Source organism: Homo sapiens, chromosome 3 (assembly GCF_000001405.40).
Source record: "Homo sapiens chromosome 3, GRCh38.p14 Primary Assembly".
Taxonomy (NCBI): domain Eukaryota; kingdom Metazoa; phylum Chordata; class Mammalia; order Primates; family Hominidae; genus Homo; species Homo sapiens.
Genome location: NC_000003.12, coordinates 186,759,112 through 186,783,214, shown reverse-complemented (window position 1 = coordinate 186,783,214; position 24,103 = coordinate 186,759,112). Strand labels below are relative to the sequence as shown.

General features: G+C 44.9%; 3 pseudogenes, besides 2 other annotated features; 1 reads left to right on the top strand and 2 right to left on the bottom strand.

Moving 5' to 3' along the window:
* Window positions 5,621-5,822: a silencer, noted in NCBI's record as "fragment chr3:186495182-186495383 (GRCh37/hg19 assembly coordinates)". NCBI's record gives its function as "represses an EF-1alpha promoter that drives an FKBP-Casp9 reporter gene in an ReSE screen in K562 erythroleukemia cells {active_cell/tissue: K562}" and the evidence as "EXISTENCE:reporter gene assay evidence [ECO:0000049][PMID:32094911]".
* Window positions 6,562-7,396: an enhancer, noted in NCBI's record as "OCT4-NANOG-H3K27ac-H3K4me1 hESC enhancer chr3:186493608-186494442 (GRCh37/hg19 assembly coordinates)". NCBI's record gives its function as "activates a minimal SCP1, AML or CMV promoter by ChIP-STARR-seq in naive and primed H9 embryonic stem cells {active_cell/tissue: H9 hESC(naive and primed)}" and the evidence as "EXISTENCE:reporter gene assay evidence [ECO:0000049][PMID:30033119]".
* On the bottom strand, window positions 9,636-10,603 carry GPS2P2 (G protein pathway suppressor 2 pseudogene 2; annotated as a pseudogene).
* RNU6-1105P (RNA, U6 small nuclear 1105, pseudogene) lies at window positions 11,268-11,374 on the top strand (annotated as a pseudogene).
* On the bottom strand, window positions 19,390-22,104 carry PSMD10P2 (proteasome 26S subunit, non-ATPase, 10 pseudogene 2; annotated as a pseudogene).

The window sequence follows — 24,103 nt, the reverse complement described above, 5'->3', positions numbered from 1 at the left end:
GATGCTGTTCGTCGGGCGGCCGGGGCTTCCCGCGGGTGACAGGTCCCGGCTCGCGGCTCGCTGCCGGCACTCAGGTGCGGGAGGGGAACTCGGTTATTCCGCTTGCTCCCACCGCTGTTTAATTCCACAATGAAGACCTGCCTGGCATTTAGCCCGACCGTTAACATCCATTCAGATCTTGGAAACGTAAAATTCCTGCTAGGGAAAATGTCGGCCACCCAGCGAGTCCCGGGAAGTCCGGTTTACCGGTACATTTTGCAGCGCGAGAAGGAAAAATGGAGTGTCATTTGCAGATGTCTCTGGAGTGGCCAATTCTATTCTCATATCATTTCCGGTCTCTCGCTTTCTTTTTAAGAGTGTTACTGATTTTAACCTAACAGGTGTGAGGAATGCCTGAAAAAAATCATAAACTTTTGCAAATGGATAGAAACTAAGCAGTAATTTTCCTTGGAACGCACGAATTTAAATGGACGCTTTGGCAGATACAGCTCTGTGCCGCTTTGGGACTACATCGGTTTTGATTCCGTCTATATTGGTCATTTTTTAAAGGCTGTAGACTTTGCCGATATATAGTGAAATGTTGATTTATTGAAATTCAGAGCAATAATATCCTTGCTGCGTAAACTGCACGGGTCTTTAAGCTCCAGACGTTTTCAATTAGCCCCATCTCAGGTCTCTCGACAAAAACAAAAAACAATATATGTAGTCATTTAACTTTAAAATACAACCCTACCCATGGTGCAAAATATCATCGAGACTATCAGGGTAACATTTTCTCATATTTCAGAAGGCCAACTTAAAGAATCATTACTGGGAAAGCTGACTCAATTTTCTATATTATAGAAGATATTCGGTTCTAAATACTACTTTTTTAATACAAAAATTATTTATTTATTTGAAAATTCTTATCGTGCCAGGAACTAGGACAAAGATTAAGAATACCAAGATGGCAAAGTGGGCCAGGCCCTCAGTCCAGTGGTACTGCTCCTCATTCATCCCTCTGTAATGTTCGAAATCCAGATTTGAGGTGATGCCAGATATTTTCTGAGAATGATGGTCGTCAGACATCCTTGTTGTCTCATCCAAAATCTACTAAAAATATCCTGAGATCTAAGAAATTGAAAAAATACTAAATCGAAAAAGTGACCAACCGTTTGGTTTCACTTGAGCCTTAGGGTGAAAACAATTGATCATAGGGTGATACCAATCAACAATTAACACTTAATCGTTGGTTGTTTTCTTTAGGATTAGCACTACACTAGATGGTGTAGGATTTTCAAGTCTCTTAAGAGGAAATAAAGGCTAAACTCTATGGTATAGGTTTACAAGTGCTAAGTAAGTTTCAAGGTAAGAAAACTTCAAATACAGTCAAAATCCACACCCACACTGCCTGTAACCTTACAGTGTATTCCTAATAAATGCAGTGATTACCACATTTGCGTGTGCTTACTAAATAGTAAATAACATTTGTAACTAATAAATGAATTAAAGATCAAAACGTATACTTTAACAAAGTTTTGCATATCAACACAGAGCGTGCTCTTTTAAATTTAAGTGATTCTGCTTACCTGGAATCTGAAATAAGATAGCCTTCTCAGTGAACTATAAATGCTTCTTTGTCAACCTTTAGTGTTTGAAATCATTTATACTGCAAATAATCCTAAAAGTCAGATTATTTCCCTATCTAAGCCAACTAAGGTAGTTTAGTTTTGCTCTTCAAGAGCCTCAGCTGACAATTCTAAAGCTATCTAGCAACCAGAGAAGCAAAGAATTAGTACAAATCTGTCAGTGCTACATGGAAAAACAATAACAAAACCTTAAAAGAATATGCTTTCAGACGGGCGCGGTGGCTCATGCCTGTAATCGCAGCACTTTGGGATGCCAAGATGGGCAGATCACGAGGTCAGGAGATCAAGACCATCCTGGCCAACATGACGAAACCCTGTCTCTACTAAAAGTACAAAAATTAGCTGGGTGTGGTGGTGTGCGCCTGTAGTCCCAGCTACTCCGGAGGCTGAGGCAGGAGAATCGCTTGAACACGGGAGGCGGAGATTGCACTCCAGCCTGGGTGACAGAGCAAGACTCTGTCTAAAAATAAATAAATAATAAAAAATATGCTTTGTGTTGATAGTGACATCTTCCTATAAAAAGTACCATGTACTCTCATCATTCAGGGCGCATTTGTATGCCATCTTGAGATTCTTACATTATTTTGAACCCATCAGTTGATTTTAAGTGATAGCTGCACATTTAAAGCGGTGTCTAGATAATCTATTGATATATAGACATTTGTTAAGGTATGTGTTTTGGATCTAATTATTACGTATTAATGTTGTTATTTAGTAATAATAAAGTATAAAGCACAAAGTATATAGTACATGCTGTCCTTACATCTGTAATTTCAGTGTTTAAAAATAACTGGGCCAGGCCCGGCGGCTCACGCCTGTAATCCCAGCACTTTGGGAAGCTAAGCCAGGTGGATCACGAGGTCAGCAGATTGAGACCATCCTTGCTAACATGGTGAAAGCCCATCTCTACTAAAAATATAAAAAATTAGCTGGGTGTGGTGGCATGTACCTGTAGTCCCAGCTACTCAGGAGGCTGAGGCATGAGAATCACTTGAACCCGGGAGGTGGAGATTGCAGTGAACAGAGATCGCGCCACTGCATTCCAGCCTGGATGACAGAGTAAGACTCCACCTTAAAAAAAAACAAAAAAACAAAAAAAAAACACTGCCCAGAGCTGGATAGAGATGGTGGTGCTACTCACCTCTTTTTCTTTTTCTTTTCCTTTTTTTCTTTTTTGGCAAACCCAGGATAATCTCTGTAACCTCTTTTTATTACACAGTTTCTGAGGAAATTAGAGGCTAGGTTCTGCTTGCCTGTGACCCCTGACGCAATTTGGAGGGTTGAACTTACTGCCATGTTCTTACACTATAACTTAAAAAACATTTGTGGTTGGGCATGGTGGCTCACGCCTGTGATCCCAGCACTTTGGGAGGCTGAGGCAAGCCGAACAATTGAGATTAGGAGTTCCAGACCAGCCTGGCGAACACGGAGAAATCCAGTCTCTACTAAAAATAAAAAAATTAGGCTAGGCATGGTGGCTCATGCCTAATCCCAACACTTTGGGAGGCCGAGGCGGGCGGGTCACTTGAGGTCAGGAGTTCGTGACCAGTCTGGCCAACCTGGTGAAACTCCCTTTCTACTAAAAATACAAAAATCAGTCTGATGTGGTAGTGTGCTCCTGTAATCCCAGCTACTCAGGAGGCTGAGGCAGGAGAATTGCTTGAACCTGGGAGGCGGAGGTTGCAGTGAGCCAAGATCACGCCACTGCACTCTAGCCCGGGCGACAGAGCAAGACTCCGTCTCGGTGGGGATAAAATACAAAAATTAGCCGGTTGTGTTGGCGCACACCTGTAATCCCAGCTACTCAGGCAGGAGAATTGCTTGAATTCGGGAGGCGGAGGTTGCAGTGAGCTGAGATCCCGCCACTGCACTCCAACCTAGGCGATGGAGAAAGATTATGTCTCAAAATAATAATGATAATAATTTGCATCAAGATAGGTAAAGATATTAACAGAGTTGAAGAAAATGGAGAAAACTGAGGAGGACCACGGAAGGACTTTTAAACTAGCTAAGAACTAGTTTTGAATCCGCTGATCCAAGGTTATTAAACTCTTTTGTGTAGCCAAGATACAGAAGTTTTTCTACCTTTATAGAGGAAGACTAAAATACAAGTACATTGCTGTACTTCAGATCAGGTGATCAGAAACTGTGGTATGCATAAAAATCAATGGGAACATCTATTTGAAATGCAGATACTTGTGGACTCTGCCCTCTCACCCAGATTCACTGGATCTGAACTGAGGTGGAGCCGGCTTCTGATTTTGAAAAATTAAGGCTGGGAGCAGTGGCTCATGCCTATTATCCCAGCACTCTGGGAGGCTGAGGTGGGCGGATCACTTGAGATCAGTAGTTTGAGACAAGCCAGGCCAACACGGTGAAACCCCATCTCTATCAAAAATACAAAAATTAGCTGGGCATGGTGGCGCACACCTGTGGTCCCAGCTACAGGGGAGGCTGAGGCAGGAAAGCAGGAGAATCACTTGAATCTGGGAGGCAGAGGGTGCACTGGCATGATCATGGCACTCCAGCCTGGGCGACATCTTTATTTTACCTCAAAGATTCACTATTTTGGCCAGGCATGGTGACCCACAGCTGTAACCCCAGCACTTTGGAAGGCCAAGGCCAGTGGATCACCTGAGGTCGGGAGTTTGACACCAGCCTGGCCAACGTGGTGAAACCCTTTCTCTACTAAAAATACAAAAAATTAGCCAGGCATGGTGGTGGGCGCCTGTAATCCCAGGTACTCGGAAGGTTGAGGCAGGAGAATTGCTTGAACTCAGGAGGTGGAGGTTGCAATGAGCCAAGATTGCGCCACCACACTCCAGCCTGGGTGACAGAGCAAGACTGTCTCAAAAAAAAAAAATCACTGTTTTTCATCAGTTTGCACATCTCTTCGAGATTACATGAAGTCTCCAGGATCAGGTTTGTCTTCAGGACAAACCTACACCTCTGTGAAGGATGGAAGAAAGACCATGATTGGCAATCTCACCCCAGAAATGTGGGCCTGGTATCTGGAATCCCACTCCTGTGCCCCATTACCTGGGGCTCTATACTACCCTCTTCATGTGACACAACCAACTCATCTTTCATGTTTGTTTGTTTTCTTTTTGAGACAGAGTTTCGCTCTCGTTGCCCAAGCTGGAGTGCAGTGGTGCAATCTCGGCTCACTGCAGTCTCTGCCTCCCGGGTTCAAGCGATTCTCCTGCCTCAGCCTCCCGAGTAGTGGGATTACAGGCATCCACCACCACGCCCGGCTAATTTTGTATTTTTAGTACAGACGGGGTTTCTCCATGTTGGTCAGACTGGTCTCGAACTCCCAACCTCAGGTGATCCGCCCGCCTCTGCCTCCCAAAGTGCTGGGATTACAGGTGTGAGCCACCATGCCTGGCCAGGAATTTATCTCTTTTAATTCTTATAACGTTGCCCGGCCTCATCTTTCATCTTTATCATATAAATGAGATAAAGTTTATATATACATATATATAAACTATATATTTATATATACGTATATATAAACTATATATACATATATAAACTATATATACGTATATATAAACTATATATACGTATATATAAACTATATATGTATAAACTATATATGTATATATAAACTATATATATACATATATTCCTATATAGTTCATTAAAAATAATAGTTATATCGTTTTTTGGAAATGACAGAAAACAATCACCAACCCCAAGAATGTCTGTTTGTTTTTAAACATAATGGAAATCATACTTTAGGTAAAAATTTTTTCCTCTATTTTTTCTTTTTTTTTTTCTTTTTTTGTTTGTTTGTTTTTGTTTTTTGAGACAGAATCTCTCTCTGTTGCCCAGGGTGGAGTGCAAATGGTGCGATTTGGCTCACTGCAACCTCCACCTTCCAGATTCAAGTGGTTCTCCTGTTTCAGTCTCCTGAGTAGCTGGGATTACAGGTGCATGCCACCACACCCAGCTAATTTTTGTATTTTAGAAGAGACAGGGTTTTGCCATGTTGGCCAGGCCGGTCTTGAATTCCTGACTTCAGGTGATCCACCCGTCTCGGCTCCGCAAAGTGCCGGGATTACAGGCTGAGCCACCGCACCCGGCCCTTCATTATTTTAATAGGAAAAAAAACTATTAAAATAATAAAACTATAAACGACTTCAATGGCTGTCAAAAGAAGATTGGTTAGTAAATTGTATGCCGTGTGTATTAGTCATTACAAACAGTGAGGTCTACTTCTACTTCTGGAGAGATGGAGTAGGCAAAATTTTTCCTGTTCCTCCTACTAAGTGCAACTGAAAACCCTGGACATTATATATAAAGCAAACACAAGAAGACTCTGGGAGGTGGGGAAAAGAAGGCAGACAGGTAGGAACCTCAAGATACACATGATAGTGAATTCCCTGGGTTTTCTTCCTCCTTCACACATCCTGAGTTGAAACTGAAGAAGCGGCCGGACGCGGTGGCTCACGCCTGTAATCCCAGCACTTCGGGAGGCCGAGGCGGGCGGATCACGAGGTCAGGAGATCAAGCCCATCCTGGCTAACATGGTGAAACCCCTGTCTCTACTAAAAATACAAAAAATTAGCCGGGCGTGGTGGCGGGCACCTGTAGTCCCAGTTACTTGGGAGTCTGAGGCAGGAGAATGGCGTGAACCCTGGAGGCGGAGCTTGCAGTGAGCTGAGATCGTGCCACTGCACTCCAGCCTGGGCGACAGAGCGAGACTCCACCTCAAAAAAAAAAAAAAAAAAAAACAAAACAAAACAAAACTGAAGAAGCTAGCAACCCAGAAAAGCCAACCGGCATAGACTAGAAAAGCTCCAGCAAAAGGCTGCTTTCTCTACCCAGGACAGAGGCATTCTAGGAAGATAGAAAAGTTGTAGACAGTAATTCCATTATTTCAGCCAAATACCACAGAAGCAGCTGTGGTCCTACCCACACCCATGCCAGCAAAAGCCAACTGGGGAGCCCACGATTCTACCCTTGGGAGGCTGTAATGAGGTTCTCTGACAACCTCCACCCCCAGACCCCCGCCACTACCACCACCACATTGTCAGAGGAGACCACGGAGCAGCTTCAACTTCCAGGCCCACTGGGCAGGAAGAAAGGTGATCCTTCAGATCCCACTAAGGTGGTGTTATACAAGGCCCGCTGGGAAATCAGGACTTGATCGCACAGTCGTCATGAGGCCACCTCATTGTAGTGTCGGTGGAGACCACATGAGGAACTCCAGCCCCCACCCAGCAGTAACAAGGATCATCCCCTCTGGTGTGTGTGAGAAATCTGGACTTCTACCTCCTGCTGGCAGTAGGAAGGCTGTGCTGTCCTTCCCCGGCCAGAGCGGCATCAGAGAAAGCCAGCCAGAGCCAGAGATTGAAGTAAGATCTAATGAGCATGTGAAAAATGCTCAGCATCCCTAATCACTAGAGGAATGCAAATCAAAACCGCAGTGAGATACCACTTCACACCCATTAAGATGACTATTATTATTTTAAATAGAGAACGGGGTGGGAAGGCTTGGGAGGCGAGTCTCAATTGTTGCTTAGGCTGGTCGTGAACTCCTAGGCTTAAGCAATCCTCCTGCCTCCGCCTCCCAAAGTGCTGGGATTACAGGTGTGAGCCAGCACGGCTGACCAAAATGACTATTAATTTTTTAAAAAAATAGAAAATAACAATTGTTGGTGTGGATGTGGAAAACCAAAATCCTTGTACATTGCTAGTAGAAATGTAAAATGGTGTAGCCACTGTGAACAGTATGGCAGTTACTCCAAAAATTAAAGAATTATCATATGATCCACCAATTCCACTTCTGAGTATATACCTAAAATAATTGATAGCAGGGATGCAAACAGATTATTTGTACACCAGTGTTCATAGCAGCATTATTCACAATAGCCAAAAGGTGACAGCAACCCAAGCATCCATTGACGGATCAGTAGATAAAACAAGTGTGGCTGGGCGTGGTGGTTCACGCCTGTAATTCCAGCACTCTGGGAGGCTGAGACATGAAGATCAGTTGAGTTCAGAAGTTTGAGACCAGCCTGGGCAATATAGGGAGACCCCATCTCTACAAAAAAATCAAGTAATTAGCCAGGTGTGGTGGCATGTGCTTGTGGTCCCAGCTACTCGGGGAAGGCTGAGGCAGGAGGCTTGCTTGAGCCTGGGAGATGAAGGCAGCAGTAAGCCATGATCACGCCACTGCACTCCAGCCCGGGGGCAACAGAACAAGACCCTGTCTCCAAAAAACAAACAACACAAAAAATCAAATTGTGCTTTATACATCAATGGAATATTATTCAGCCTTAAAAAGGAATGAAATTCCGATCCATGCTACAGTACGAATGCACCTTTGAAGACATTATGCTAAGTGAAATAAACCAGACACAGAAGGACACGTAGTATATGAGTCCACTTATATGAGCATAGAAACAGAAAGTAGGAGGGTTATCAGGGCCTGGGGGAGGGGAGAATGAGGAGTTACTGTTTAATGTGAACAGAGTTCCAATTTGGGGAAAAAGGTTTGCAGATGAATAGCCGTCATGGTTGTATCACATCATGAATATGCACAATGCTACTGAAGTATACGCTTAAAAATGGTTAAAATGGTACTTTTTATGTTATTCCTATTTTACCAAAATAAAAATATATTCCTAGCCAGATAATCTAGTTAGAATGAAGTTAATCCATTAGAATGTTTTGTTTTCCCACCTAATTGTAGTTGTTAGTCTACTGATTTAAAAAACAGGCCAGATACGGTGGCTCATGCCTGTAATCCCAACACTTTGGGAGGCCGAGGCGGGTGGATCACTTGAGGTCAGGAGCTTGAGACCAGCCTGGCCAACATGGTGAAACCCCATCTCCACTAAAAATACAAAAATTATCCGGGTGTGGTGTCACGCGCCTATAATCCCAGCTACTCAGGAGGCTGAGGCAGGAGAATCACTTGAACCCAGGAGGCGGAGGTTGCAGTGAGTTGAGGTCGCGCCATTGCACTCCAGACTAGGCAACAGAGCGAGACTCCGTCTCAAAAAAAAACAAAAAAAAGAAAGAAAGAAAGAAAGAAAAATACAGAGAGGAAAAAAAGATCTTGAGTCACATAACAATACAGAAGTTTCCAGATTTCAATAGAAAATCACTTAAGCCGGCCAGGCGCGGTGGCTCACGCCTGTAATCCCAGCACTTTGGGAGGCCGAGGCGGGCGGATCACAAGGTCAGGAGATCGAGACCATCCTGGCTAACACGGTGAAACCCCGTCTCTACTAAAAATACAAAAAATTAGCCAGTGCATGGCGGCGGGCACCTGTAGTCCCAGCTGCTGGGGAGGCTGAGGCAGGAGAATGACGTGAGCCTGGGAGGCGGAGCTTGCAGTGAGCCCGGATTGCGCCACTGCACTCCAGCCTGAGGGACAGGGCGAGACTCCGTCTCAAAAAAAAAAAAAAAAAAAATCACTTAAGCCAAAAATCGTGACCGGGCGCGGTGGCTCACACCTGTAATCCCAGCCCTTTGGGAAACCAAAGTGGGAGGATCACCTGAGGTCAGGAGTTCAAGACCAGCCTAGCCAACATGGTGAAACCCCATCTCCACAAAAATAGCAAAAAAATTAGCCGGGCATGATGGCAGGTGCCTGTAATCCCAGCTACTCGGGAGGCTGAGGTGGGAGAATCGCTTGAACACGGGAGGTGGAGGTTCCAGTGAGCAGAGATTGTGCCATTGCACTCCAGCCTGGGTGACAAAGGGAGACTCCGTCTCAAAAAAAAAAAAAAAAAATCATGAAGATCTCAAACTGAATGAAAAAGACAATGGATGCCAACTCTGAGATGATAGGAATGTTGGAATTATTATACTGGTCAAGGTTGTAAAGCAGCCATGACGAAAATGCTTTGGTGACCAATTATGAGCATGCTTGAGACAAATGAAAAAATAAAAAGGAAAAATTGATAAATTGGACTTATCCTTAAAACCCGTTGCTCTCTTCTTCCTTCCTCCTCCTTCTCCATCTTGTCCTTTTCCTTCTCCTTCTCCCAATGGCAAGTAGATTATATTGGCCTTGGGCTGGGACACTCGGGGGGAACCCACACCCATGGTGTGTGTGTGGGGGCAGGACGAAATTGAAGCTATCTGATGGTCACTTGCAGCATGACAGGTTCTGGCTGTGTTGGATGACGAGTTGCTGAGGGCCTGGTTGGTTGGTAGCTGCAAAACCTAGACGTTCCTGCTGGCTGCATCTTCGCGGGGAGCTGGGATTAGGCAAGGAGTCTAGGGCCTGGATGCAGAACCTGGGCATGCATGGGGGTCAGGGAGGATGGACCAGGGAAACCTGTGTGCTGGTTAGCATGGTCTATCTGCGGTTTCAAAGACAGAGCAGCACCAGAAGAGGAACCCTGTCTGGGTGTGCTGAAAGTGGCCCAGCAGAACATAAGGTTGTGGCTGGGACATGAATGCACCCCAGGGAGCACTGAACTGCTCTGAGCTGCCGACTAGGGCCATAGGCTAGCTATGTGGGCCCATATTGAGGTAGGGGCTGAGCAGTCCCAGCGGCACCGCCCAGGCTGCCTGCTCTGGGGTCCCTGCAAAAGCCGCCGCTGAGCCCACGGACTTCCGGGTCGTAAGCACGTGGGGCCTGAACATCTGCTTGGCTGGGTCAGCTGCTATGACAATGCCCGGGCGATCGTGCCCTCCAGCGCTGCCTGCATGCCGAGGAGGAAGCGAGTCCCCACGTGAATAATCGGGCTCCGCCGGCTCACAGCGGATGTCAGAAGGTCAGGTCGCTCTGCTCCTTTCGCCTCCGTTTTTCTTCCTCATGGAAACTTTCTTCAGCTGCAGAAAAAGCTGGTCCTTTTCTTTCTGCCTGGCCCACAGCTTCTCCTGCAAAGTCAAAATTTGTTCCTTCGGTCTCCTCTGGTGACATTCTCTCTTCCATCTCCTTTCTCTTCCTTCGTCTGCTCTTCCTCCATCTTCTCGCCATCACCTTATCCGCCGCCTCCTCTTCCCTCTCGCCCCGCAGCCTGCGCTCCCGCCGGGGGCGCTCCGGACACACTGTCTGCGCGACCCCCCACGGGACCCGGCCCCCAGGCCAGCTCTGCCCGCCGCCCACAAGGGCTGGGGGCACCCGCCGCCAGCCCAGCTGGCAGCTATGGCTCCTCCGAGCGCACAGGAAAACCTCGGCTTTTGAAAGACCCTGTTAAGATAAGGATGAAAAGATAAGCTATAGAGGAGAAAATATGTGCAAACCACGTATCTGGCAAAGTACTGGTATCTAGAATAGATAAAAACTCGCAAAAAACTCAACAGTAAAAAACAACAGTTTTGGCCAGGCGCGGTGGCTCATGCCTGTAATCCCAGCAGTTTGGGAGGCCGAGGCGGGCAGATTGCCTGAGGCTGGGAGTTCGAGACCAGCCTGGCCAGCATGGTGACATCCCGTCTGTAATAAAAATATAAACATTAGCCGGGCGTCGCGGCAGACTCCTGTAATCCCAGCTACTCGGGAAGCCGAGGCAGGAGAATCTCTTGAACCCGGGAGACGGAGGTTGCAATGAGCCCAGATCAAGCCACTGCACTCCTGCCTGGACAACAGAGCAAGACTCCGTCTCAAAAACAAAAGCAAAAACAAAACAGTCCTAATACAGCATGAACAAAAGATTTGAAAAACATTCTGTGCTCACTTCCACAGCACATGTATTAAAAAAATCGGAACAATACAGAGATTAGCACGGGCCCTGCGCAAAGATGACATGCAAATTCATGAAGTGTTGCATATTTTTAAAACATTAAACAAAATTTAAAAAAGAAAACAAACATTTCACTGAGGAGGATATACAGATGGCAAACAAGCATACAAAAAGATGTTTAACACTATTAGCCATTTGAGAAATGCAAATAAAAACCACAATGAAATATCGTTGTACACCTAATTAGAATGGCTAAAATAACAAAGTGACAACAACAAATTCTGACAAGTATGCAGAGAAACTGGATCTCTCATCCTCTGCTGATGGAAATGTAAAGTGAGGTGTAGCCACCTGGAAAGCAGTAGTAGTTTCTTTTCTTTTCTTTCTTTTTTTTTTTGATACGGAGTCTCGCTCTTTCACCCAGGCTGGAGTGCAGTTTCATGGTCTCGGCTCACTGCAACCTCTGACTCCCAGGCTCAAGAGATTCTCCTGCCTCAGCCTCCCGAGAAGCTGGGATTACAGGAACCCGCCACCATGCCTGACTAATTTTTGTATTTTTATTAGAGACGAGTTTCACCATGTTGGCCAGGCTGGTCTCAAACTCCTGACCTCAGGTGATCCGCCCGCCTTGGCCTCCCAAAGTGCTGGGATTACAGGCGTGAGCCACTACGCCTGGTTGCAGCAATAGTTTCTTAAAAAGCTAAACAGGTAACCACCACCATACCATGTGATCCAGCAATTTCACTCTTGGGCATTTAGCTGAGAGAAATGAAGACTTATGTTCACACAAAGACTCTGATATGAATGTTCAGAGCAGCTTTATTTATAATAGGCAGAAACTGAAAACAATCCAGATGTCTTTCAATGGATGAATGGGTAAACTGTGATATATTCATACTGTGGAATACTACTTGGTAATAAAAAGAAAGGGTCTATTTATTATTACATATCACAACCTGTATGAATCTCCAGATTATTATGCTGAATTTTAAATCAATGCTAAAAAGCTACCCCTTGGCCAGGCGCGGTGGCTCACGCCTGTAATCCCAGCACTTTGGGAGGCCTAGGCAGGTGGATCACTTGAGGTCAAGAGTTCGAGACCAGCCTGGCCAACATGGGGAAAGCCCATTTCTACTAAAAATACAAAAATTAGCTGGGCATGGTGGCGCATGACTGTAATCCCAGCTACTCGGGAGGCTGAGGCAGGAGAATTGCTTGAACCCAGGAGGTGGAGGTTGCAGTGAGCTGAGATCATACCACTGCACTCCAGCCGGGTGATAGAGTGAGACTCTGTCTCAAATAAATGAATAAATAAATAAATAAATAAATAGTTACCTCCTGCATGATATAACATTTTTGAAAAGACAAAATTATAGAAACAGAAAACACAAGTGGTTGTCAGGGGTTAAGGAGAGAATGGGGGCAGGAGACAGATGAACTGTGGCTATTAAAGGGCAACATGGGCCAGGCCCAGTGGCTCACACCTGTAATCCCAACGCTTTTGGAGGCTGAGGCAGGTGGATCACCTGAGGTCAGGAGTTTGAGACCAGCCTGGCCAACATGGTGAAACCTGGTCTCTTGCAAAATATAATGATCTTTGAGCATTTACAATATGTAAACATCTGTCTCAAATAAATAAATAAATAGTTACCTCCTGCAAGATATAACATTTTTGAAAAGACAAAATTATAGAAATAGAAAACAGTAGTGATTGTCAGGGGTTAAAAAATATAAAAATTAGCTGGGCATGGTGATGTGCACCTGTAATTCCACCTACTTGGGAGGCTGAGGCAGGAGAGTCACTTGAACCCAGGAGGGGGAGTTTGCAGGGAGCTGAGATTACACCACTGCACTCCAGCCTGGGCGACAGAGCAAGACTCCATCTCAAAAAAATAATAATAATAAATAATAAATAAAAGTTAAGAAATAAAAATTTAAAAATAAATTATCTGGGTATAGTAGTGCACGCCTGTAGTCCCAGCTTCTCGGGAAGCCGAGGTGGGAGGATTGATTGAATCCAGGAGTCCGAGGCTGCAGTAAGCTGTGATTGTGCCACTGCACTCCAGCCTGGGTGACAGAGTGAGTCTCTGTCTCCAACAAAATAAAATAAAGAGAGAGAATGATTGTTAAATGTAATATGGCCTCCTAGAGTGAATACTGGTACAATAGAATTGCCAGAGGCGTTCTAACCAGACAGACTCCATCTTGAGTGAGGGCTAGGAAAATGAAGCTGGAACTTGCTGGGCTGCTGTACCAGAAAGGTATTCCTAGCCTCTAGATGTTTAGTAAGGGAACAAATTGATAATGTTTACTAAACAGACCCAGACTTGGGAGTGTCCTGATATCCCAATATCTTGAGAACAAAGGCATTCCTAATTTTGCTTTAAAGATAATAATATCGATTCTTGCAAAATACAGTAATTAAGAAAATTAATCCTTTATCACAAACCCTTGAGCACAGCACATCTTCCCATGATCTTTTTTTATTCTATATATACAAGTATTGTACCTAGGGTGGATGCGTTCTTCCTGTTACTTTCGGGAACGTTCTACTCTGTCTATGGAATAGCTGTACTTTCACTACTTTACTTTCTTAATGAACTTGCTTCTACTTTGCACTGTGAACTCACCCTGAAATCTTTCTTGTGCGAGATCCAAGAATCCTCTCTTGGGGTCTGGATCGGGACCCCCTTCCTGTAACAAAATGACATTAGTGAAAAATAACAATAACAATGAAGTCTCTAGATCTCTGTGTACCAATATGCAAAGATGTTTATATATTGTAACTTCTCAAAGATCATTATATTTTGCAAGGTCCTTTGTGTGAAAAAATGGAGGGGTAAGCCGGGTGCAGTGGCTCACGCCTATAATCCCAGCACTTTGGGAGGCTGAGGCAGGTGGATCACCTGAGCTCAGGAATTCGAGACCAGCCTGTTAACATGGCAAAACCCTGTCTCTACTAAAAATACAAAAATGAGCCGGACATGGTGGCACACACCTGTAATCCCAGCTACTCAGGAGGCTGAGGTAGGAGAATCGCTTGAACCCGGGAGGCGGAGGATGCAGTGAGCCGAGATTGTGCCACTACAGTTCAGCCTGGGAGACAGAGCTAGACTTTGTCTCAAAAATAGTAATAATTTAAAAAATGGATGGATAAGCAGGTCATGGTGGCTCACATCTATAATCCCAGCACTTTGAGAGGCCGAGGTGGGAGGATTGCTTCAGCTCAGGAGTTTGAGACCAGCCTGGGCAACATAGTAAGACCCCATCTCTATATTTAAAAAAAAAATGGATGGGTACATGCGTAGGTTTATGCAGAGAAACATGTATTATACATAATTATTTCAATCAAACTTTTCTAGAAGGAAATAGTGATTTCCTCTAATAGGGAGTGCAAATGGGAAACAGACAGGAAAACCTTACTTTTTTTTGAGGCAGACTCACTCTGTCACTCAGGTTGGAGTGCATTGGCACGCTCTTGGCTCACTGCAATCTCTGCCTCCCAGGTTCCAGCTATTCTCCTGCCTCAGCCTCCCAAGTAGCTGGAATTACAAGCATGTGCCACCATGCCTGGCTGATTTTTGTATTTTTAGTAGAGACAGGGTTTCACAATGTTAGCCAGGCTGGTCTTGAACTCCTGACCTCAGGTGAGCCGCCCCCACTTGGCCTCCCAAAATGCTGAGATTACAGATGTGAGCCACCGCACCAGGCCAGAAAACTTACTTTTTGCTTGACACACTACTGTTCAGTTTATGTTTTTTTAGTACCATGAGCATATATTAGAACTATAATTTTTTTTTTTTTTTTTTTTTAGATGGGGTCGCCCTCTGTTGCCAGGCTGAAGTACAGTGGCTCAATCATAGCTCACTGCAACCTCAAATTCCTGGGCTCAAACCATCCTTCCACCATAGCTTCCCAAGTAGCTGGGACTACAGGCAGGTGCCACCATGCCCAGTGATTTTTTAATTTTTATTTTTGTAGAGATAGGGCCTTGCTCTGTCACCCAGGTTGGTCTTGAACTCTTGGCTTCAAGTAATCCTCTCACCTCAGCCTCCCAAAGTGCTGGGATTACAGGCATGAGCCACTGGACCCAGTGACATTTATAATTTTTAAAACTATAATTACAATGCTGTCATTATTTAGGTTCGAGCAAATCTAATTGTGTCTTCCTTATTTTTTATTTTTATTTTTATTTTTTGAGATGGAGTCTTGCTTTGTCGCCAGGCTGGAGTGCAGTGGCACAATCCTGGCTCACTGCAACCTCTGCCTCCCAGGTTCAAGCGATTCTCCTGCCTCAGCCTCCCGAGTAGCTGGGATTACAGGCGTGCGCCACTACCCCCAGCTAATTTTTTTGGTACTTTTAATAGAGACAGGGTTTCACCATGTTGGCCAGGATGGTCTTGATCTCTTGACCTTGTGATCCGCCCGCCTCAGCCTCCCAAAGTGCTGGGATTACAGGCGTGAGCCACCACGCCCGGCCTGCGTCTTCCTTAAAACAAAAGATATGTTAGGGCATGATTGTTTTTTATTATGGGAGTATTTCCTTTATCAAATGACTAATAATAGGTTTATTTAAAAATGCCTTATATTGTGATTTAATTTGTAAAAGTGTGCCACTTTCTCCACCTTTTTTTATTCATCTCTAAAAATTTACTTATCCTGGCAGGGCACGGTGGCTCTCGCGTGTAATCCCAGCAATTTGGGAGGCCGAGGCGGGTGGATCACTAGGTCAAGAGATCGAGACCATCCTGGCCAACATGGTGAAACCCCGTCTCTACTAAAAATACAAAAAAAATTAGCTTGGCATGGTGGCGCGTGCCTGTAGTTCCAGCTACTCAGGAGGCTGAGGCAGGAGAATTGCTTGAACCCAGGAGGCGGGGGTTGCGGTGAGCTGAGATGGCACCACTGTGCTCCAGCCTGGGCGACAGAGACTCCATCTAAAAAAAAAAAAAAATTTTACTTATCCCGCCTGGGTGCGGTGTGCAGTGGCTCACGCTTGTAGTCCAAACTTCTCAGGAGGGTGAGGTGGGTGTATAACTTGAGCCCAGGAGGCAGAGGCTGCAGTGAGCCGAGATCTGGGTGGATAACTTGAGCCCAGGAGGTAGAGGCTGCAGTGAGCTGAGATCGCGCCACTGCACTTTGGCTTGGGTGACAGAGCGAGACCATGTCTCCAAAAAGAAAAAGAAAATCTGCATTATCCTTTTAAGATCAGCTCAAACACCTCCTCCTCCAGTATGAATAACCCTAGAAACAGAGTGGTTTCTTTCCTTTGGACTCCCATAGCCATTCTTTCTGCTGCTTTTATGATATGTTCTAGCATATTTAGTAATGTGTTTCATCTCTTCTACTAAATTGTATCCACCTTGAGAGGGTAGATTATGTTTTATTAATCTTTGTATCTCCCACAATATAAAGCCCAGTGCCTTGGTGCTTGTATTAGTTTTCTGTTGCTGCTGTAACTAAAACTGCCAAGTTAGTGACTTAAAAACAACACAAATTTAGTATCGTTTTTTTTTTTTGAGATGGAGTTTTACTCTGTCGCCCAGGCTGGAGTGCAGTGGCGTGATCTCAGCTCACTGCAACCTCTGCCTTCCTGGTTCAAGCGATTCTTCTGCCTCAGCCTCCCAAGTAGCTGGGATTACAGGTGCCCGCCAGCACGGCCAGCTAATTTTTGTATTTTTAGTAGAGACGGGGTTTCACCATGTTGGTCAGGCTAGTCTCAAACTCCTGACCTCAGGTGATCCACCCGCCTCAGCCTCCCAAAGTGCTGGGATTACAGGCATGAGCCACTGCGCCTGGCCGCAAATTTAGTATCTTACAGCTCTGGAGGTTAAAAATCTGAAATGGTCTCCTTGAAGTCTGGATATTTAGTTAAAAAAAAAATCAAAAATCTGAAATGGGTCTCACAGAGCTAAAATCAAGCAGTAGGCAGAGATGTGTTCCTTCTGGAGGCTCCAGGGCAGGCCTTTTTCATTATCTGGAGACTGCCTACATTCCTTGGCTCATAGCCACATCACTCTGACCTCTCCTTTCATCATTGTCACACCTTCTTTGACTCTGACCCTCCTGCCTTCCTCTTTTTTTTTTTTTTTGGAGACAGAATCTCGCTCTGTCGCCCAGGCTGGAGTGCAGTGGTGCGATCTCGGCTCACTGCAAGCTCCGCCTCCTGGGTTCACGCCATTCTCCTGCCTCAGCTTCCCAAGTAGCCAGGACTACAGGCACCCACCACCACTCCCGGCTAATTTTTTGTATTTTTAGTAGAGACGGGGTTTCTCCGTGTTAGCCGGGCTGGTCTCAATCTCCTGACCTCATGATCCGCCTGCCTCGGTCTACCAATGTCCTGCCTCCCTCTTATAAGGACTTTGTGATTCCAATGGGCCCACCTGAATAATCCAAGATAATCTCTCCATCTCAAGATTTTTTTTTTTTTTTTTTGAGACGGGGTCTCACTCTGTTACCCAGGCTGGAGTGCACTGTCACCGTCTCTGCTCACTGCAACCTCCGCCTCCTACTACATTAAGGAACCAAGCTCAGAGTGACAGAATAGTTCCTCCTATTTACTCCCACATTCATTGTTTTGTATTGTTACTTCTGCTGATATTATTTGTAGACTTTGTATGGTGTTTGCCCAAATTCAAAGCTGAGCCTATATCATGGGTTGGTAAGGGTGCCCTTTAAATGTAGTCCCTGCATCTAAGCCTGAGGCGCAGTCAACTCAGAAGCAAAGCAGCAGTTTACAGACCTTATTTTTTTGGTATAAATCCAGTCATTCTTCAGTTATTCAGGCTTCATAATTTTTGCTATACCTGAGTACTCTTTGACATATTTACCTAATTTTTCTTTTCCTTTTTCTTTTTTTTTTTTTAAGAGATGAGGTCTTGCTGTGTTACCCAGGCTGGTCTCAAACTCCTGGCCTCAAGCAATCCTCGCAGTTCAGCCTCCCAAAGTGCTGGGATGCCTAGTTTTTCTTAACAAATTTTTGTAACTATAGGTTACAATTCGCATTTACTTAGCTTCAGTGAAATCACAGGTTAAATTTGTTATATTTTTTCCAGTGCTGATTAAAATAATCACATAACTACCAAAATAAGTACTCCATCTGAAATCTTCTGACTGTTTGGGATATGCTGGTACTGACAGATTGTAGCCTACTGGAATCTGTAGTCATTAGCCAAATCATGGCAGAGGCAAATGTAGATTTTTTTTTTTTTGAGACAGAGCGTAGCTCTGTCTCCTAGGCTAGAGTGCAATGGCACGATCTCGGCTCACTGCAACCTCCACCTCCCGGGTTCAAGCAATTCTCGTGCCTCAGCCTCCCAAGTAGCTGAGATTACAGGCACCCACCACCATGCCTGGCTAATTTTTTGTATTTTTAGTGGAGACAGAGTTTCGCCATGTTAGCCAGGCTGGTCTCAAACTCCCGACCTCAGGTGATCTGCCTGCCTCGGCCTCCCAAAGTGTTGGGATTACAGGCGTGAGCCACCTCACCCAGCTAGATCTTGTTTTCAATGTAAAATTCTAAATAGTGGGACGGCTGAAGTCTGTGACTAGCCCCATAAGTATTTTCAGTTGTTGCTGGTGACGATTATTTTTGATTAACTACTAGGATTTGGGGGAAAAAATATCTCCTAGAACCACCACTATGCCACTTTCCTGCCTGTCCCCATTGAAACACTTGAAGTGATGCCTAAGTCGCTGGTACTTTCTGATACTACCTCCTAGAAGGTCTTTGAGTCTTCCCTAAAGAGAGAAAAGAGTCAAGGGGTAGTGCCCTTTCATTTTTATTTTCCTTTAAAATTTTGGGCTTAGCCTTGATCTCAATGAAAGAAACTATAAATTACAATATCATTTAATATGCTTTGTAAGAAAGCTATTATGTCAAGTACTTCAAATTTTCAAAGTATTCACCATTACTTTGTTATCCTCCACTGCACTCCAGCCTGGGCGACAGAGTGAGACCCTGTCTCAAAAAACAAAATACAATAAAACAGAATAAAATAAATAAGAAGAAGGGGTGAGGAATATGTACAGTCTGGTGATATCAGGATTAAAGGAAACGGATTGGTGAAGAAAACCTTCATTACAACTTATCAGGCTTGTGATTTTTTTTCTTTCAACATCTTATTTTTTAGTTTCCGAAATACAAATCAAAATACATTTTTGTTACATATCATTTTAACAAGCTTAACATTCTTTTCAATACAAGATGACTCAATATAGGTATTTTTAAAAAGCCATGCATTTTATTTTAGAGTAAACAGCTCATCACAAAAATACGTGGGTACATGGGCTATTGTTGTTTACTATTTCAGAGCACACCCTCCAACTTAACATTTGGTCCACTAAAATATGTAAATGTCCGTCTGGGCACGGTGGCTCACTCCTGTAATCCCAGCACTTTGGGAGACCAAGGCAGGTGGATCACCTGAAGTCAGGAGTTCAAGACCAGACTGGCCAACATGGTGAAACCCCGTCTCTACTAAAAATACAAAAGAGAATTAGCCAGGCATGGTGGCACACGCCTGTAGTCCCAGCTACCCAGGAGGATGAGGCAGGAGAATCACTTGAACCCAGGAGGCAGAGGTTGCAGTGAGCTGAGATCATGCCGTTGCACTCCAGCCTGGATGACAAGAGTGAAACTCTGTCTGAAAAAAAAAAAAAAAAAAGAAAAAGAAATGTTCCTCCTATCACAAAAATAAATTAAATCTCATGGCTGAACAAAACAGAAATGTGGCTGGGCATGGTGGCTCACATCTGTAATTCCAGCACTTTGGGAGGCCGAGGCTGGCAGATCACCAGGTCAGGAGTTCAAGACCAGCCTGACCAACGTGGTGAAAAACCCTCTCTACTAAAAATACAAAAATTAGCCAGGCGTGGTGGCATGTGCCTATAATTCCAGCTACTCAAGAAGCTGAGCAAGATAATTGCTTGAACCCGGGAGGCAGAGGTTGCAGTGAGCCGAGATTGCACCACTGCCCTCCTGCCTGGGTGACAGAGCGAGACTCCGTCTCAAAAAAAAAAAAAAAAAAAAAACAAACAAACAACAACAACAACAATTTTTAGGCTGGGCGCGGTGGCTCATACCTGTAATCCCAGCACTTTGGAAGGCCGAGGCGGGCGGATCACCTGAGGTCAGGAGTTCGAGACCAGCCTGACCAATGTGATGAAACCCCGTCTCTTCTAAAAATACAAAAATTAGCCAGGCGTGGTGGCATGCGTCTGTTATCCTGACTACTCAGGAGGCTGAGACAGGAGAATTGCTTGAACCCAGGAGGCAGAAGTTGCAATGAGCCGAGATCGTGCCATTGCACTCTAGCCTGGGCAACAAAAGTGAAAATCCATCTCAAAAACAAAACAAAACAAAACAAAAACAAACAAACAAACAAAAAACCAGAAATGTTGGCATAGGCCTGAGGAAGCTTGAAAAACAAGTTAGGATGTTTTAACTATATGGAGGCACATTACAGAATCCACATAGAAACATCTGGTAGAACAACTGGCTTATTTCTATTGGAGTGGTTCTGTTTCAGAAAGGGATATAAGGTACATGGGAGGGTGCTGAAAACTCACAACAGCCACAGAATTAGTTATTCAAAATTGACCAGAATTCAATATACAAGAATATATGACAGCAGTAGAACAATCTCAACAGTTATTTGATGCCTGGAAAGCAAAGCTGTAAGCTTAGAACAAGTAACTCAGCAGGAACAACGGTCAACATGTTTATACGACTTTGAAGGTGAGAAAACTTTATCATTCATAGATGATGTATTGTGCACAAGTACATTAGTTTCCAGGACACTGGGAACAACAACACAACATAAAAAGTAAGAATAGGGCCGGGCACGGTGGCTCATGCCTGTAATCCCAGCACTTTGGGAGGCCAAGGCGGCCGGATCACTTGAGGTCAGGAGTTTGAGACCAGCCTGGCCAAGATGGTGAAAGCCCGTCTCTACTGAAAATACAAAAAGTAGCCGGGCATGGTGGCACATGCCTGTAATCCCAGCTACTCAGAGGGCTGAGGCAGGAGAATTGCTTGAACCCGGGAGGCAGAGGTTGCAGTGAGCCAAGATCACACCATTGCACTCCAGCCTGGGTGATGGAGCGAGACTCCGTCTCAAAAAAAAAAAAAAAAAGGTAAGAATAAATCCAAGCTGTTTAACCTTCCACCATTCACTTGAGTATTAAACGTAGGCAACCTCTGGCCGCTTGCAGGGGTGTCTTTTCTTCTTTATTCTCAATGTGAATACTTGCTCCTTGGGACACTTGCTCCTTCTTCCACTCTCTCCTCATCACAGGCTAAGTGTAGAGGAGTGTTACCCTCAGTGTCTTGGATGTTCGTGGATGTTCTGTAGTATAGAAGGATAGGAATCATCTTCAAGTTACCCTTGGCTGCTGCCCGGTGCATTGCTGTAGCCTCACAATGGTCCTCAGCATGTGGATCAACCCCGCCTTCTAGTAACTTGACAACAATCTCATTCCTGTTTTTGGAAGCTGTATAATGTAGGGGAGTACAGCCATTTTGACTGACAGCATTTACTTGAGCACATTTTCCCAGAAGGGCTTTTACAATCTCATCCCGCCCAGCGGAAGCCACAGTATGAAGAGGAGACCAACCTGTATCGCCTTTGTCACTCACTGGCACTCCAAGTTGCAACAAAAATTCAACAATTTCTGCATGTCTGGCTGAGCATGCCCAGTGCAATGCAGTTCTGCTGTTCTAGTCAGTTCTACTAGACAGGAATTTATCGGCCAGAATACTCTCCTTCAACTCTTCCAGCTTCCTCTGTAGGCCAGGTTGCAGACCATTAGGTTAGACACACCTGTAAATCCCAGCTACTCGGGAGACTGAATCGCTTGAACCTTGAACCTGGGAGGCGGAGGTTGCAGTCAGCCGAGATTGTGCCATTGCACTCCATCCTGGACAACAAGAGCAAAACTCCATCTCAAAAAAAAAAAAAAAGAAAAAAAAAAAGAACACCTCCATTTTGCTTTCCCAGGAACTTGTGATATTATTTTTTATATGTGTGTGTGTGTGTGTGTGTGTGTGTGTGTGTGTGTTTTATTTATTTATTTTTAGAGATGAGGGCTCACTATGTTACCCAGGCTGGTCTAGAACTCCTGAGCTCAAGTGATCCTACCACTTCAGCCTCCCAAAGTGCTATGGGATTATAGTCATGAGCCACAGCACCTGGCCAATATATGTGTTTTCATCCATGGTTCGTGACTCATAACTCCCATAGCCCATGTCACAGTAAACAGAATCTCTCTCTTTGACCTTCTCTTGCCCTTCTTTCACCTGCCTGATGCAGGATTCTAATCTAATTGTGACTCATAAAACTCTCCATTCCAGAGGAAGTTCTGCCTCATTACCTGGAGGTAAGAATGCTGCACTGAAGAGCCAAGAAGAATCTGAACAGACAGGACTTGCTGGGTTTAGATCATTCCCTTTTTGTCCAATCACATTTCAACATGGTTGTCCATGCTTCAGTCATGCCTGTCCAAGAAGTCTTCATAAAAGGCCCAAGAGGACAGGGTTCAGGGAGTTTTGGAGACCTGAACACATGGAGGCTGACAGGAAGGTGAATAAGAACTCATTCAACAGCCAGGCGCCGTGGCTCATGCCTGTAATCCCAGCACTTTCGGAGGCCCAGGCGGGTGGATCACCTGAGGTGGGGGTTCGAGACCAGCCTGACCAACATGGAGAAACCCCGCCTCTACTAAAAATACAAAATTAGCTGGGCGTGGTGGCGGGCGCCTGTAAATCCCAGCTACTTGGGAGACTGAGGCAGGAGAATCGCTTGAACCTGGGAGGCGGAGGTTGCAGTGAGCCGAGATTGTGACATTGCACTCCATCCTGGACAACAAGAGCAAAACTCCATCTCAAAAAAAAAAAAGAAAAAAAAAAGAACTCATTCAACCAACTCCTCGGGCACAGAAGTTCCTGGGCTCGGGACCCTTCCAGACCTCTCACTATGTATCTATGTATCTCTCTCTCTTCATCTGTTTATTCATACTTTTAAAAATATCCTTTATAATAAGCCAGTAAACGTAAGTGTTTCCTTGAGTTGTGTGAGCCACTTTAGCAAATTAATCAAACCCAAAGAGGAGTTTGTGGGAACCCCAACCTGAAGCCTGTTGGTCAGAAATTCCCGAGGCATAGACTTGTGAATGGTGAGAAGGGGCGGGGCAGACTTGCGGGACTGAGCCCTCAACCTGTGGTTTCTGAGGCTATGCAGGATGATAACGTCAGAATTGAATTAAACTGGAAGACACTCAGCTGGTGTCCTCTGCTTGGTGTGTGAGGGGACATCTCCACATGTCTGGTGACAGAAGTCTTTTGTGTTGATTGTTGTAGTGAGACATTAGAGAAAAAAAGTTTTTTTTGTTTTTGTTTTTTGCTTGTTTGTTTTCTAACACAAGGCTCTGTCTCTTATTATATATAATAAGAAACACCGAAACTTCTACTGAGACGTTCCCTCTGCCCTCCGGGCTTAAGTGATCCTCCCACATCAGCCTCCCAAGTAGTTGGGATTACAGGCACACGCCACCATGCCCGGTCTTTTTTGTTTTGTTTTGTTTTTGAAGACAGGGTCTCACTCTGTGGCCTAGGCTGGAGTGCAGTGGCATGATCGTGGTTCACTGTAGCCTCAACCTCCTGGGCTCAAGCCATCCTCCTGCCTCAGCACCCCTGCCCTCAACCCCCAGTAGCTGGGACTACAGGTGTGCACTACCACACCCAGCTAATTTTGGTATTTTGTCTAGAGACAGGGTTTTGCCACATTGTCCAGGCTGGTCTCAAACTCCTGGTCTCAAGCTGCC